The 16,151-nt window shown below is 43.2% G+C and overlaps 1 protein-coding gene across 26 annotated transcripts in view; it reads right to left on the bottom strand.

The window, feature by feature from the left end:
* SYTL3 (synaptotagmin like 3) overlaps positions 1-16,151 on the bottom strand; it is a 119,936-nt gene that overhangs the window by 15,970 nt on the left and 87,815 nt on the right. For 25 of the 26 annotated variants that reach the window (XM_006715606.4, XM_047419556.1, XM_011536254.3 and 22 more), the window contains one exon: positions 3,244-3,422. In XM_006715606.4, coding sequence (XP_006715669.1) covers positions 3,244-3,422 — 179 coding nt within the window. The remainder of the gene's footprint in view (positions 1-3,243; positions 3,423-16,151) is intronic. The other variant, XM_017011499.2, reaches the window with a different exon arrangement.

Below are 16,151 nucleotides of genomic sequence, written 5' to 3'. Positions count from 1 at the left end.
TGTCTCTTCTTTCATTCCTATACTGGTATTTGAGTATTCTCTATTTTTTTTTTTTTCAGGCGGAGTTTTGCTCTTGTTGCCCAGGCTGGAGTGCAATGGTGTGACCTCAGCTCACTGCAACGTCTACCTCCCTGGTTCAAGGGATTCTCCTGCCTCAGCCTCCCTAGTAGCTGGGATTACAGGTGCCTGCCACCATGCCCGGCTAATTTTTGTATTTTTAGTAAAGATGGGGTTTCACCATGTTGGCCAGGCTGGTCTCAAACTCCTGACCTCAGGTGATTCACCTGCCTTGGCCTCCCAGAGTGCTGGGATTATAGTTGTGAGCCACAGCACCCAGCCTTTTTCTAGCATTTTAAGGTGGAGGTTTAAATAATTCATTTTAAGTCTTTTTCTTTTAAATATAAGCACTGCTTTAACTGCATTCCTCAAATTTTGAAATTTAAAAGTCAGGAAATACTTTTGGGGCAAAGACTATTCCAGTTTTCCTGAGGTAGACGGTACAGGAAGAGTAATAATAAAAGCTAAGACTAGAACAATAGGAGAGATTCTGTTACGAAGGAACCACAAGTGCTATAGAAATGTGTACTTAATTTGTCTGGTACTAAAGAGCTACTAAAAATTTCAGAGCAGAAGAGAGTTTGATTAAATCAACAATTGATTTCTTTTCCCATCATCACTCTTTAGCTGGTAATTAAAACAGTATGCCAGAAGTTCCCCATGTAAGAAAAAAGAAAGGCAAAACTGAGGCCCCTGCCTTAAACTATATATAGAAAATCAATTCCGCTTGTAATGTGAACAGATCTAAGTGTGGGGAAAAAAAAAAAAAAACGATAAGAAGAAACCAGAGAACGTATTTAAACCCTTGGGTGCCACAGGAATTCTTCTACAGACACAAAAAGCAGAGAGTTTAAAGGAAAAGCTTGATACATTTGATATTAAACTTTCTACAAGAAAAGTCATAATAAACAAGTTAGAAAACAAGTTACAGCTAGGATGGATAAAATACGTACAATACATATAACTAATAAATAATTTTTAAACCTATTTAAATTAGGTTTAACAAAAAGCCTCTGGTAAATAAATAAAACAATAAACAATCCAATAGAAAAATGGGAGGCCAGGTGCAGTGGCTCATGGCTGTAATCCCAGAGCTTTGGGAGGCTGAGGTGTGAGGATGGCTTGAGCCCAGGAGTTTGAGACCAGCCTTGGCAACAGAACAAAACCCTGTCTCTACAAAAATAAGTTAAAAAATCTAGCTGGAAAAAAAAAGTTACAAATTTAGCCTCCTACATAGCTGAGACTACAAGCATGTGCCTCCCAACTACTCAGGAGGCTGAGGCAGGGAGATGGCTTGAGCCTGCAGTGAACTGTGATCGTGCCATTGCACTCCACTCCTGTAGTCCCAGCTACTCAGGAGGCTGAAGTGAGAGGATTCCTTGAGCCTACTAGGACTTTGAGGCTGCAGTGAGCTATAGTGGCACCACTGCACTCCAAGCTGGGTGACAAAGCAAGAAAGACCCTGTCTCTTAAAAAAAAATTAATTTTAATTAATTAAATTTTTAAAAAGAAAAATGGGCAAAAGATATGAATAGAAAACTCACAAAAGAATAAGCCTGGCCAGGCACAGTGGTTCATGCCTGTAATCCCAGCACTCTGGGAGGCCAAGGCGGGTGGATCACTTTAGGTCAGGAGTTCAAGACCAGCCTGGCCAACACGGGGAAACCCCGTCTCTACTAAAGATACAAAAATTAGCCAGGTGTGGTGGCGGGCACCTGTAATCCCAGCTACTCAGGAGGCTGAGGCAGGAGAATTGCTTGAACCCAGGAGGCAGAGGTTGCAGTGAGCTGACATCGTGCCAATACACTCCAGCCTGGGCAACAGAGCAAGACTCCGTCTCAAAAAAACAAAATAAAATAAACCTAAGTGGCAAATGCATATATAAAAAGTGGCTCAAAAGGCTGGGCTCACACCTGTAATCTCAGCATTTTGGGAGGCTGAGGTGGGAGAACTGCTTGAGTCTGAGAGTTCAAGATCAGGTTGAGCAACATAGTGAGACCCTGTCTCTATTTTTTTTTTTTTAAAACAAGTTGCTCATCTTTGTTAGTAATAAGGGAAATGCACATTAAAATAATAGTGCTGGCCGGGTGTGGTGGCTCATGCCTGTAATCCCAGCACTTTGGGAGGCCAAGGTGGGTGGATCACGAGGTCAGGAATTCGAGACCAGCCTGGCCAATATGGTGAAACCCCGTCTCTACTAAAAATACAAAAATTAGCTGGGCGTGGTGGTGCACGCCTGTAGTCCCAGATGCTCAGGAGACTGAGGCAGGAGAATCACTTGAACCCGGGAGGCGGAGGTTGCAGTGAGCCGAGATTGCGCCACCGCACTCCAGTCTGGGTGACAGAGCAAGACTCCACCTCAAAATAATAATAATAATAATAATATTATTATTATTATTATTATAATGGTGCTACACCTTTTCATGTCTGTCAGTGAGAATAACATTTTAAATCTCTTTATGGATTGTGTGAATCAAGATTTTAATTTTGTATTTCCTGCGTGGAAAGCCAAATTTTTCAACATCATTTATTGAAGTCCACTTTTCCCCACTGATCTGTAATAGCTCCACAACTGAATGTTTATGTCCACCTCGCTCACCAATTCATAGTTGAAGCCTGACCTACAATGTGATGGTATTAGGAGGTAGGGTCTCTGGGAAGTGATTAGGTCATGAGGGTGCAGCCCTCATGAACAAGATTAGTGCCCTCATAAAAGAGGCCCGAAGAGAGCTGCCTTGTCCCTTCTACCATGGGAGGACACAAGAAAACAGTCATCTAAGAACCAGAAAGGGGGCCCTCACTAGATACCAAATCTACCAGCACCTTGAGCTTCGACTTCCCAGCCTCCAGAACTGTGAGATATGTATTTGTCTTGTTTATAAGCCACCTGGTCTATGGTATTCTGTCACAGCAGCCGAAATGGACTAAGACACTCCTTGATCATGTAAGTTTTCATATACGCTAAGGTCTGTATCTGGACTTTTGATTCTACTTTCCTGACTTGTTCTGTCCTTGTATCAATAACACATTGTTTGCATTGCTACAGCTTTATAATAATACTTGAAGTAAGCCTTTTCATTTTGTTTTTTTTTTTAATAATTGTCTTGGTTATTCTTAGACTTTTACTTTTTCATATACATTTTGGAATCAATATGTCTCATGTTAAACTTAAAAAAAACAACTTACGGATTGCACTTTTTCTTCTTTTCTTCTCCATAGGCAAGGTTCTTACAGGCCTTGATGCATATTTCTAAAGAATGGGTTTTGAAGCAATAATGAATGGCAAATTCTATTTCTCCAGTGACATTAGCATTGTCAAAATTGCCCATCTCTGTACAGGTGCTGTCAATGCTAATTAAACTTCCCTGAAATCAAGAATAACAGATATAATAAGTTACTTCAGTTAATTCACTTTTTTGATGTTCTGGTTTCAAGACAGCACATAAATAAAAACTCATACAGCATGTATCCTGACTCACATCAAGTTAATAATGCACCAGCTTGTACTTTGCCAAAATAAGTTGCCACATGTTCTATCTCAAGGAGACAGAGAATCCTCAGAAGGCCCTCTCTTGCCTAGATACAGTTTTTGCCTAGCAATAAATGTTACACGATCTCATTCTTTAACACAAATTGCTTGGGGCGAAATGGACTAGCTCCTATGCAATTCTGCAAGATCACTCCCAGGAGGCCAAGATAATATCCATGGCAGGACAGCTATGCGGAAAGCGGCACAGTCTGGGGCTAAGTGGCTGCGACTGGGAATCAGATAGACCTGGACTCAAATGCTAGTGCTGCCACTCATTAGCTGTGGCAAAGTCTAACTGGAAAAAACCATACTGATCTCACAGGGCTATGGTGAGGAATAAATAGAATAAAGCAAGTAAAGTGTGCACCCAATGGTAACAGTAAATTGTATCTGAATTTTTCTGGTTACCTAAAATGAAAAATAAAACTATCATCACAGTCTAGGGTACTCCAAGCTTATACGATGTAGATAAGGAGAGGCTAATGAATGTTATTAATTAGCACAAAATTCCTGGGCCTAAAAGATACAATCAGCTACCTTATCACTATTAAACGTGCTTAAATACTTTGCATGCAACCAATCTCTGTGCTGCCTTTTTATAGGAAGACAAGCCTAACTGATTTCTACTTCGAATTCCCAACTAGCTCCTCCACACTATAAAACATCTTGAAAAGAAACTAAGAAACAAGCATGGGAGTGCCGGGTGCAGTGGCTCACGCCTGTAATCCCAGCACTTCGGGAGGCCGAGGCAGGCAGATCACAAGGTCAGGAGATCGAGACCATCCTGGCTAACAAGGTGAAACCCCATCTCTACTAAAAATACAAAAAAAGAAAAAAAAAATTAGCCAGGCATGGTGGCGTCCCAGCTATAGTCCCAGCTACTCCGGAGGCTGAGGCAGGAGAATGGCGTGAACCCAGGAGGCGGAGCTTGCAGTGAGTGGAAAGTGCCCCACTGCACTCCAGTCTGGGCGACTGAGCAAGACTCCGTCTCAAAAAAAAAAAAAAAAAAAAGAAAGAAAAAGAAAAAAAAAACAAGCCTGGGGGCAGAAAGTCAGAACCACAAGGGAAAGATAAAATAGAAAAAAAAAACAGCAACTGAGACCAGGCGTGGTGGCTCACCCTTGTAATCCCAGCACTTTGGGAGGCCAAGGAGGGTGGATCACTGGAGGTCAGGAGTTCGAGACCAGCCTGGCCAACATGGTGAAACCCCGTCTCTACTAAAATACAAAAATTAGCCAGGCAAGTGGCGCGTACCTGTAATCCCAGCTACTTGGGAGGCTGAGGCATAAGAATTGCTTTAACCTGGGAGGCAGAGGTTGCAGTGAACTGAGATTGTACCACTGCACTCCAGCCTGGGCGACAGAGTGAGGCCCCATCTCAAAACAAACAAACAAACAATAAACAATACCAACAAGTCATCAGACAGGCTGGAACCTGAACTGATGAATGCTAAGAACAAAACAAGCTTCACCACATCCAGTCACTGGCTCTGAAAAATCTCACCTGTCAACACCATTCCACTGTTAAAATGGAAAACAATGTAAAATTTTTACACACTCAAAAAGGCACAGGCCGGGCACAGTGGCTCATGCCTGTAATCCCAGCACTTTGGGAGGCAGAGGCAGGCGGATCACTTGAAGTCAGGAGTTTGAGACCAGCCTGGCCAACATGGTAAAACCCCATCTCTACCAAAAAAAAAAAAAAAAAAAAAAAAAAAGCTTGGACTGGTGCACCAGCATGAGTGAGTGAGGTATGAGAAGTGAAGATAGAAGAGAATGGACAGAGGAGCTTGGCAAAAGGTGTGAGCAGCCTGAGAGAAGAACCAGGTAGATGAACGGAGAAGCTAATGAATCATACAGCATTTGTCATGGGACTCAGCTTCAGGCTATGTCAGACTAAATGGTGTTACACACACTTTTCTGCTGAGAACAATTAGAAAGCTGAATTAAACAACTAAACTATTTCAAGAGATTGTAGAGCTGCCAAGACCACCAGGATGCAAGGGGCCAAGATGCTGAAGAGAAGCACATGGAAGTAAGCCTGACATCCGGAGCTGCCTTTCACTTCAAGGCATAAGTCCCTGTGTAAGCAACACAGGACTTGATTCTATCCTACTGACCTGCTTGACTCTCCTTGCATCAGGAGCACATTGAATCACTACCGCTGCACGTCCAAGGGCTGGACGGCCAAGATGTCAATCAAAATGAAATGGCAAAGAGACTCAGAAGCTCAGCAGAGTTTTCAGCAGTCTAACGGGACTGGGGGGCAAAATCAGCATTCAAGGCTACGAAGTCATGGGGAACCTGAGGAGCTAAGGTCCCAGAGACAGGGCAAATCCACGAGTACCGAGATGCTGCCTTTTCCTCAAGGCGTTTGCTGAACTGGAAGCTGTGGCTGAGGGGCCGAGAAGCTTAAGAATGTTTCCAGCTGGCTGGACGCAGTGGCTCACACCTGTAATCCCAGCACTTTGGGAGGCCGAGGCGGGCAGATCATGAGGTCAGGAGGTCAGCAGATCTAGACTATCCTGGCTAACACAGTGAAACCCCATATCTACTAAAAATAAAAAAATTAGCCGGGCATGGTAGCACACACCTGTAGTCCAGTCCCAGCTACTCAGGAGGCTGAGGCAGGATAATAGCTTGAATCCAGGAGGCGGAGGTTGTAGTGAGCCAAGATCACACCACTGCACTCCAGCTTGAGTGACAGAGCGAGACTCCATCTCAAAAAAAAAAAGCAAAAAAAAAAAAATGCTTCCAGCAGTTTCATCTTACTAGAGAGGAAAAAACTGGCCTTCAGGCTTATCACAGGGAAGGGGCTTGGTAAATATCCAGACCTTCAGCTGGGATCCTCCAAAGACTTCCTTACTAGGAGGAAGAGTCATCTGGAAATGGACCTGTCTTCATCAATGGAAACCCAGTTTTGAATCAGCTCAGCCTCAGACTAGATAAAGATTCTTTGCCTCCACTCTGTGTGTTAAGAGCAAAAGCAAATTCTCTATGAAGCATAATAAAAGTGCAAAAATAATTGCAGTTTTTGCATTGTTGGAATTTGCTATTTGATATTGGAATACATTCTTGAATAAATGTGGTTATGTTATACATCATTTTAATGGGCATTTCTCGCTTTATTTATTTTTTTGCTAATAATGGATTATTTGCTGTTTATGTTTATTTTAGACTATGGAAATGATGTTAGACAAAAAGCAAATTTGAGCAGTTTTCTTATTCGAGTTCAAAATGGATCATAAAGCAGCAAAGACAATCCGCAACATCCACAATGCATTTGGTCCAGCAAAACATACAGTGCAGTAGGGGCTCAAGAAATTTTGCAAAGGCAATGAGAATCTTGAAGATGAGGAGCGTAGTGGCGGCCATCGGAAGATGACAACAACCAATTGAGAGCAATCATCGAAGCTGCTCCCACAACTACACGAGAAGTTGCTGAATAACTCAACACTGACCATTCTATGATTGTTCAGCCTTGGAAGCAAATTGGAAAGGTGAAAAAGCTCGATAAGTGGGTGCCTCATGAGCTGAGTGAAAGTCAAAAAAATCATCATTTTGAAGGGTTGTCTTCTCTTATTCTGCACAACAACAAACCATTTCTCAATCAGATTGTGATGTGTGACAACAAGTAGATTTTATATGACAACCAGCAATGACCAGCTTAGTGGTTGGACTGAGAAGAAACTCCAAAGCACTTCCCAAAGCCAAACTTGCACCAAAGGTCCTGGTCACTGTTTGGTGGTCTGCTGTCAGTCTGATCCACCACAGTTTTCTGAATCCCAGCGAAACCATTACATCTGAGAAGTATGCTCAACAAATTGATGAGATGCACCAAAAATTGAAACGCCTGCAGCCAGCATTGATCAACAGAAGGAGCCCAATTCTTCTCCATGACAACGCCCTACTGCATGTCACACAACCAACAATTCAAAAGTTGAACAAGGCCAGACATGGTGGCTCACGCTTGTAGTCCCAGCACTTTGGGAGGCCAAGGCAGGTGGATCACCTGAGGTCAGGAGTTCGAGACCAGCTGGCCAACATGGTGAAACCCTGTCTCTACTAAAAACACAAAAATTAGCTGAGCGCGGTGGTGCACACCTGTGTAATCCCAGCTACTTGGGAGACTGAGGCAGGAGAATCACTTGAACCCAGGAGGCAGAAGTTGCAGTGAGCTGAGATGGCACCACTGCACTCCAGCCTGGGCAACAGAGCGAGACTCCATCTCAAAGCAAAAAACAAAAACAAAAGTTGAACAAATCAGGCTACAAAGTTTTGCCTCATCTGCCATATTCACTTGACCTCTTGCCAACAGACTACTACTTCTTCAAGCATTGTGAGAACTTTGTGCAGGGAAAACACAACCAGAAGGATGCAGAAAATGCTTTCCAAGAGTTCATTGAATCCCAAAGCACAGATTTTTATGGTACAGGAATAAACAAACTCATTTCTCTTTGGCAAAAATGTGTTGATTGTAATGGATCCTACTTTTATTAATAAAGATGTGTTTGAGCCAAGTTATAATTATATAAAATTCACGGTCCAACCACAAGGACTTTTCTAGCAACCTAATATTTTTGAATCTCAAATTATCCCAGTTTTTCATACTCAATGTCCAGCATTCAGTAAAAAATTGCCACGCATACCAGGACTAAAAAGTAAGCAAGTGTCCCAGTTTCCTTAGGACTAAGGAATTTCCTGGGATGCAAGACTTGAACTGCCAAAACCAGGCGAGTCCTGAGTAAACTGGGATGGTTGGTCATCCTAAGTCTAAGATCCAAGAGTAAGTGACCAAAAACAAAGAGGAAAAAATGCACAATAAAAATAGACTCATGGGTGATCCTGATACTGGCACTGAAAGATATAAACTTTAAAATAACTGTAACTAATATGGTCAAGAAAATATATGAAAAGAATATATTTCTCCAGAGAACCAGAATATATAATAAAGAATCAAATAGAAATTTCTCCAGAGGACTAGAATTTATAATAATTAATCAAATAGAAATTAAGGCCTTGGCTGGGCATGGTGGCTCACACCTGCAATCCCAACACTTTGGGAGACCGAAGCAGGCAGATCATCTGAGGTCAGGAATTTGAGACCAGCCTGGCCAACATGGTGAAACCTGAATCTACTAAAAATACAAAAATTAGCCTGGTGTGATGGTGCACACCTATAATCCCAGCTACTCAGGAGAATGAGGCAGGAGAATTGCTTGAACCCAGGAGGCAGATGTTGCAGTGAGCCGAGATCACACCACTGCCCTCCAGCCTAGGTGACAGAGTGAGACTTCAACTCAAAAAAAAAAAAAAAAAAAAGTAAGTTGCCTAAAAAGTAAGGCAACTGAAATGAAGAACTCCACAAATTAAATTAACATAAGATCAGACTAAGCTGAAGGGAGGATTGGTAAACTGGAAGATGGGTCAATGGAAAATATTTGGAGTGAAGCACAGAGGAGAAAAAATGAATGAAAAATAAAGAGTATAAGAGACATACAGGGCCAAATACCATGGTTCATGCCTGTAACCCCAGTGCTTTGGGAGGCCAAGGTGGGAGGACTGCTTGAGGCCAGGAGTTCATGACCAGTCTGCACAACATAGTGAGTGGGTGCTCCTGCTAAGCCCAAGAGTTCTGGGATGCAGTGAGCTAGGGCTGTGCCACTGCATTCCAGCCTGGGCAACAGAATGAGACCCCCATCTCAGAAAGATGGGAGAGGGAGAGAAAGAGACAGAGAGAGAGAGATAGAGGGAGAGAGACATACAGGACATAATGAAAAAGTATATGTTTGGACTCTCATATAGAGAAAAATCGGGCAGAAGCTATATTTGAAGAGATAATGGTTAAGAATTTCTAAAGACTAACAAGAGACAATAAACCACAGATTTAAGAGGAAAATATTTTTTAAAAAAACTATACATAGGTACATCATAATAACATTGCTTAAAATCAAAGACAAAGAGAAAATCTTAATGGTAGAGAAAAAAAGGATCTGTTACCTATGATGGAATCAACAGTAAGATTTAACCATTTTACTGCCCACCAGAAATGATAGAAGCCAGACTTGTTTAATCCAAAAAGAATGATGAAAAGAAGGTGGTAGAGACAGTAACACAGGAGAAAAAAGTAGTTACAATAAACTAGAACAGGTTACATACTACAAAAAAAGTCAATGACTGGATTTTTAAAAACATCTGACTGTGCTATTTAGATGAGACACAGCTGAAATATGAATGTACAGAAGGGCAGGAAGAGACGGCGCCTTCTTTTGCAGGGAGCCAGACAGGGAGGGCTGTGTGAGTGGGAGGGGAAAGGTGGGAATGCCAAGTGCAGACAACTAATAAAAGCTTAGCTGAGGGGCTAGGTGCAGTGGCTCACGCCTGTAATCCCAGCACTTTGGGAGGCCAAGGCAGGTGGATCGCTAGAGGTCAAGAGTTCAAGACCAGCCTGGCCAACATGGCGAAACCCTGTCTCCACTAAAAATACAAAAATTAGCTGGGCACGGTGGCACACACCTGTCATCTCAGCTACTTGGTAGGCTGAGGTGGGAGAATCACTTGAACCCAGGAGGTGGAGGTTGCAGTGAGCTGAGATAGCACCACTGTACTCCAGCCTGGGCAGCTGAGCGAGACTCTATCTCAAAACAAAACAAAATAAAAAGATTAGCTGAGGTGGGGAGAGAAAAGTGGTAGCTGGAGGGGAATGGAAGGTTTAGTGAAGGTGTTTTATTACAGGAGACTTGAATGTGTTTCAGGGTCCAGGTAAGTAGAGGCTGAATGCGTAAGAGAGAGGAAGGACAAGTAATAGAATAAGGAACAGAGAAGGCAGGGGAGGGCAGGATCCCAAGTATTGCTGCAGGCATCAGCTTCTTCTATTGCGGGTGGGGAAAGAAGAGTCACTTGGGTGCAAATGCGGTTGGTTAATTTTGCTATCAGGAGGATTGGGAAATTTCAAACTGATTCTTTTCTTTCTTGGTAGAGTAAAAAGGGAGATTTGAGAGTGAGGAGGAAGAGCAGGTTTGAAAAGACTGGAGGAGGTGTGAAATGTTTGTTGTGGAGAGCAAAAAAACTGTGTTAATCAGGCAAAGACATCAGGATTGCTGGGCAGTGCTGGGCACAGTGGACCTGGGAACACAACAGGGCAGACCTAATCTCCAGCATGCAGGCGTGAGTGTCCTGGGGTTAGGGCTGCCCTGCCATGCACTTTGCTCCTTGGGTGTGCAGCTGTTGGTGTGCAGGTAGAAAGAAAGGGCACAGCTGCGCTTGTCCAGGTTGGCACCCAGAATTATAAAGCATCCAGGAAGCATTGTCATTACTCATCATTTTATAAGTAGATAAACGAAGGTCAAGGCAGGTTGAGTCATGCCCCAAATTGCATCACACATCAGAAGCAGACCTGAAAGTGGACCAGGGCTCCTAAATCTCTGGGCCATAATGTATGCTCATGTCTCTGAGTAGTTCAACCGCTGTGTCTGCTGAGCAGGGACGGGGAGGATACACCCTCATAATGAAAGGAGAGCAGAGCACGTCCATCCATCAAATGCGTTCCTTCCCAGGCGACTCATGGCTCCACCACCATCGCCCTGGCAGGGCTCCTGGTTCTGCTCTCTCTGGAGCCAGAACAGAGCCTTTGAGCAGGTTACAAGTTGAATGCAGCAAATGGAGTCAACCAAAAGATTCTGGCCCAGAAGCGCAACCCAAAACTCAGCCTGACTTTTATTAAAGCCATTGGCACAGTCTGGGTTTGAAAGAAAGTCAATCTGGGTAACGGCAAAGGAAAAACTCAAGGCAGGCAGGGAGCCTTCTGCCAGTGACTTTCTCTGAAGGTCACAAATGTATCTCCTGTAACTGCAAGCTAAGTTTCATGCCCTTTTATTTCACAAGGGCAGAAAACTCAGAGTCAACTGAAGCCACAGCTAAATTAAAAATAATAAATCCTGATAAGAACACACTGAGAACATTTTTGCAAAGTGGTTAAGATGGTGAGTGATGAGGCCACACAGCAGCCTTCCAGTGCCTGGCCCTGACACTTAGTGGCTGTGTGATCTTGACCAATTATCTTACCCTCCAGAGCCTCAGCTTCCTCATCTGTAAAATGGGGATCTATTTCATAGGGTCATGGTGAAGTTCAATTAGTTAACACACGGAAAAAGACTTAGAACCATGCCTATGCATGGTAAGCTTAGTGATTATCAGCCTTTTAAAAATGCCACAAAATGTGGATGACCTTTGTAAGCTAAGCAAATCATTTGATTTTTCGTTGTTTTTTTTTTTTTTGCCATGAAATGTATAACAAAAGAGTACATATAACATATAGGATTAAACAATTATAAAATTAACATCCACATGCCCACTCTCAGCTTAAGAAAAATAACATCGCCAGGACTTCAGAAGTGCCCCAGAACTCCTCCTCCCTTATCAAATCCCCTCTCATTCCTGTCTCCAGGAAACACTATTTCAAACTGTCTGTTAATCATCCTTGATTTTCTTGATGGTTTTACTTTTTCTACTTTTTTTTTTTTTTTTTTGAGACAGAGTCTCGCTCTTGTCGCCCAGGCTGGAGTACAATGGCACGATCTCAGCTCACTGCCACCTCTACTTCCCAGGTTCAAGCATTTCTCCTGCCTCAGCCTCCCAAGTAGGTGGGATTACAGGCACCTGCCACCATGCCTGGCTAATGTTTGTATTTTCAGTAGAATGGGGTTTCACCATGTTGGTCAGGCTGGTCTCAAACTCCTGACCTCAGGTGATCCGCCCGCCTTGGCCTCCCAAAGTGCTGGGATTACAGGCATAAGCTACTGCATCCAGCCAATGGTTTTATTATACATGAATATATCCCCCAAACAATCTACTGTTTAGTTTTACCTGATTTTGAAATTTATACAGTTAGAATAATACTGTGTGCACATTCTCCATAATTTAACTTTCTCTTGACATTTTGGTTGTTGACAGTTTTTCTTTTTTTGAGACAGGAGTCTCGCTTTGTCGCCCAGGCTGGAGTGCAGTGGCGTGATCCTGGCTCACTGCAAACTCTGCCTCCCGGGTTCATGCCATTCTCCTGCCTCAGCCTCCCGAGTAGCTGGGATTACAGGCACCCGCCACAACGCCCGGCTAATTTTTTGTATTTTTAGTAGAGATGTGGTTTCACTATGTTGGCCAGGATGGTCTCAAACTCCTGACCTTGTGATCCACCCGCCCTGGCCTCCCAAAGGCTGGGATCACAGGCGTGAGACACCGCGCCCGGCCGTTGTTGACAGTTTTTCAAAATTAAAACAATTATAAACAATGCTGTCTGGGACATCTATGTATGCACATTTTGGCCAACATTCATGATAATTTTTAAAGAGTAGTTCCTGTGACTGAAGTTCTTCAACTAAAGAGAGTTCAACTAAAGAGAACAAGTAAAAGCTTCTGACATCTACTGCTAATTGCCCTCTAGAAAAGTTGTAACAGTTTCTGCTCACCCTGCAGTTTGTAAGAACGCCTGCTACCCTACACCTTACCAACACGGAGCTCTATTATTTTTAAAATTTACTAAAGTGGTCCCAAAATAACAGCTTGCTTTAATTTTGCACTGATTTGCCTACTTGGGAGGTTAAATGATTTTCCCTATTTGTTGTCTAGATCTGGCTTTATACTTCTGTAATAAGTGGAATTTTAATAAGCTGGGTTTTTTGTTTTTTGTTTTTACTCCGATCCTTGTTTCTCAGAGAATGTAAATATTTCTCAGAAGGGAAGGCAACACCTTTAGCAAGAAGCAATAATCAGTGGTTTGTTTTGTGGGAGTTCAGTTTCCTCAAATAAATGCTGCTTCAGCCTAAAGGGAACAGGTTACGATTCAATGCATAGTAACATGATTATAAATTTTAAGGGCACAAATCAGAGAAAACTTTAGAAAAATGGGTGAGAATAGACAGCCCTACTGAATTTGCACTATGATTTAGTTAGGCATAGTTAATAATTATAAAATTAACATCATCCATGTGTGTATGTGTAAAATCTGATTAATACTCAAAGTTAATGAGTATATGGGGAATTGCATAATCTCATATGCCACTGATGGGGCTGTTAAAAACAAATTTTTGTTTTCCAACAAAAAGTCCCTAAGCAGCAAAGGGACTAAGATGGATTTGCTCACCCCACCTCTCCCTAGGCTAGCATCCTGGTTCCCTGCTTCTACGTGTGGACTGGCCCTGAGTGAGTGAGGCTGAACCAGGCAGCATGGGTCAGGAAAACTGCTCAATGTAAGAGTACAAAACGCCTGTGGGATAGTGTGAAAAGCCTGGACTCCCCGGTATGGACTCCCCAGGCCCCTGGTTTGAATCAGAGTTCTACAGTCATCTCAGGACCTCAGCAAGTCGCTTTAAACTCTGTGAACCTCAGGTTCCTCATTTGTGAAATGGGATAACAGCACCTTCCATAACAAGATCTTTGTGAGAATGACTGAGCTGTGAAGCACCTGCCTTGGGCTTTCAATAAATGGTAACTATGATTAGGATTAACCCAATCACTCAACAAACATTTATTGAGGCCATTTAAGTGTTGGATACAGCTCTTGGGAATTAGAGTCTAGTGGGGAGGTGACACAGACAATACCCAACAGATGAGCCAACTCTATAGCATGTCGGGGTGGTGAGGACATGGATTAACATAGAGCAGGTGGGGGGAGTGGGGCAGGGGGAGCTCCCTGAGAAGGTGGCTTGGAACAAAGCCTTAAAGGAAGGGACTGCATGACTTGTGATGTCTGGGAGGGAAGGGTACAGAAATGCCTGGAGGTGGGATGTGTCTGGGGGTCCCAGCACCAGTCAGTGGCCCTGCAGCTGAGTGGAATGAGCGATGGGGTAGGTGAGAGCTGGTGAGGTCGGGCCAGAGTGGTGGGCAGGTCACACAGGATCCCACCGGCTGTCATGGGGTGGATCCAAGCCCACGTACTTGGCTATGTGTTGGTTTCTAGGGCTACAAGGATGTGATTCTGGCCCTTGAAGGAGCTCAGACTCCAATCTAGTGGGACCCTGGGCAGATTAGTAGAAACTGGCCCACTGGCTGTCTATGAAGGCACAGTCTCATCCCAACCCCTCCACCCCTATTATAAGTAAAATGTTTATTTAGAAACAGAATGCTTGTTTTTTGGTACTATAGCATTTAGACAAAAAGGTTTTTTTTAGCAAGGCAATTTTACTTTTTGCAGAAAGGGTGCTTCTTTTTTTTTTTTTTTTTTTTTTGAGACAGGGTCTCGCTCTGTTGCCCATGCTGGAGTGCAGTGGCGCAATCTCGGCTCACTGCAAGCTCCACCTCCCAGGTTCACGCCATTCTGCCTCAGCCTCCCAAGTAGCTGGGACTACAGGCGCCCGCCATCACGCCTGGCTAATTTTTTTGTATTTTTAGTAGAGACGGGGTTTCACCGTGTTAGCCAGGATGGTCTTGATCTCCTGACCTCGTGATCCGCCCTCCTCGGCCTCCCAAAGAGCTGGGATTACAGGCGTGAGCCACCGCGCCCGGCCAAAAGGGTGCTTCTTGGAGATGGAACAATGGCGAGAGCACACCTGAACAATGGAGGGAAGCAATTTTTATCCTTTACACAGCTTGGCCTTGCTACAGTGTCTTGTTTCCACTGGCTGGAGCCAGACTTTACAATTTAAATTAAAACCTGACTGGCTAACAACTTAAAACTTTTTAAAATAGGTAGAGGTGGCCGGGCACGGTGGCTCACGCCTGTCATCCCAGCACTTTGGGAGGCCGAGGAGGGCGGATCACGAGGTCAGGAGATCAAGACCATCCTGGCTAACACAGTGAAACCCTGTCTCTACTGAAAATACAGAAAAATTAGCCGGGCGTGGTGGCGGGCACCTGTGGTTCCAGTTACTAGGGAGGCTGAGGCAGAAGAATGGCGTGAACCTGGGAGGCGGAGCTTGCAGTGAACTGAGGTTGGGCCACTGCACTCAAGCCTTGGTGACAGAGCAAGACTCTATCTCAAAAAATAAAAAATAAAAAAAGTATAGACAATAGAGAATAAAGGAAAAGAGAAAGTTGCTTGTGAAAGGACTTAGAAAAGTAATAATATTTCCAAATAAGGAAGGGGCATAGGCTGCGAGCTGTATGTGCCTGTGAACATATTCAGCACAAATATCTTCATTCAAGTACAAGAACACAGAACGTACTTATTTCTCTATATCTAACAGCTACATAGGATAGGGCTTAACAAAGAGTTATTAGCACAAAGCAAGGAGGCTTGAAGGAAGTTAGTTTTTAAAAGAAATTATTATTTTTAACATTATTATTATTACCAGAAAGGAAACTGAAAAGGAAACTTTTTACTTTCTACAATTCCCTCCTTTTGATTTTACAGTGTTTTTTTTTTTTTTCTTTTTAAACTTTTAAAACATGTTTTGGCTTAGCTGTTTTGCTTGAGTTTTTAAAAGAAAGAGTTTTTTTGGTTGATGAAATGCCAGGGTAAAAGGGATAGCCAATTGAACTACAGCATAAGTACTGCTTTAATTATTTGGCAGAGTGTCTAGTAAAGGTTTTTTACAATACTAACATACGTTCACTTGGAGATGAATAAGGGT

This window comes from Homo sapiens, chromosome 6 (genome assembly GCF_000001405.40).
Source record: "Homo sapiens chromosome 6, GRCh38.p14 Primary Assembly".
NCBI lineage: Eukaryota > Metazoa > Chordata > Mammalia > Primates > Hominidae > Homo > Homo sapiens.
The sequence above is the reverse complement of the archived record's forward strand: the minus strand, read 5'-3'. Positions and strand labels throughout refer to the sequence as shown.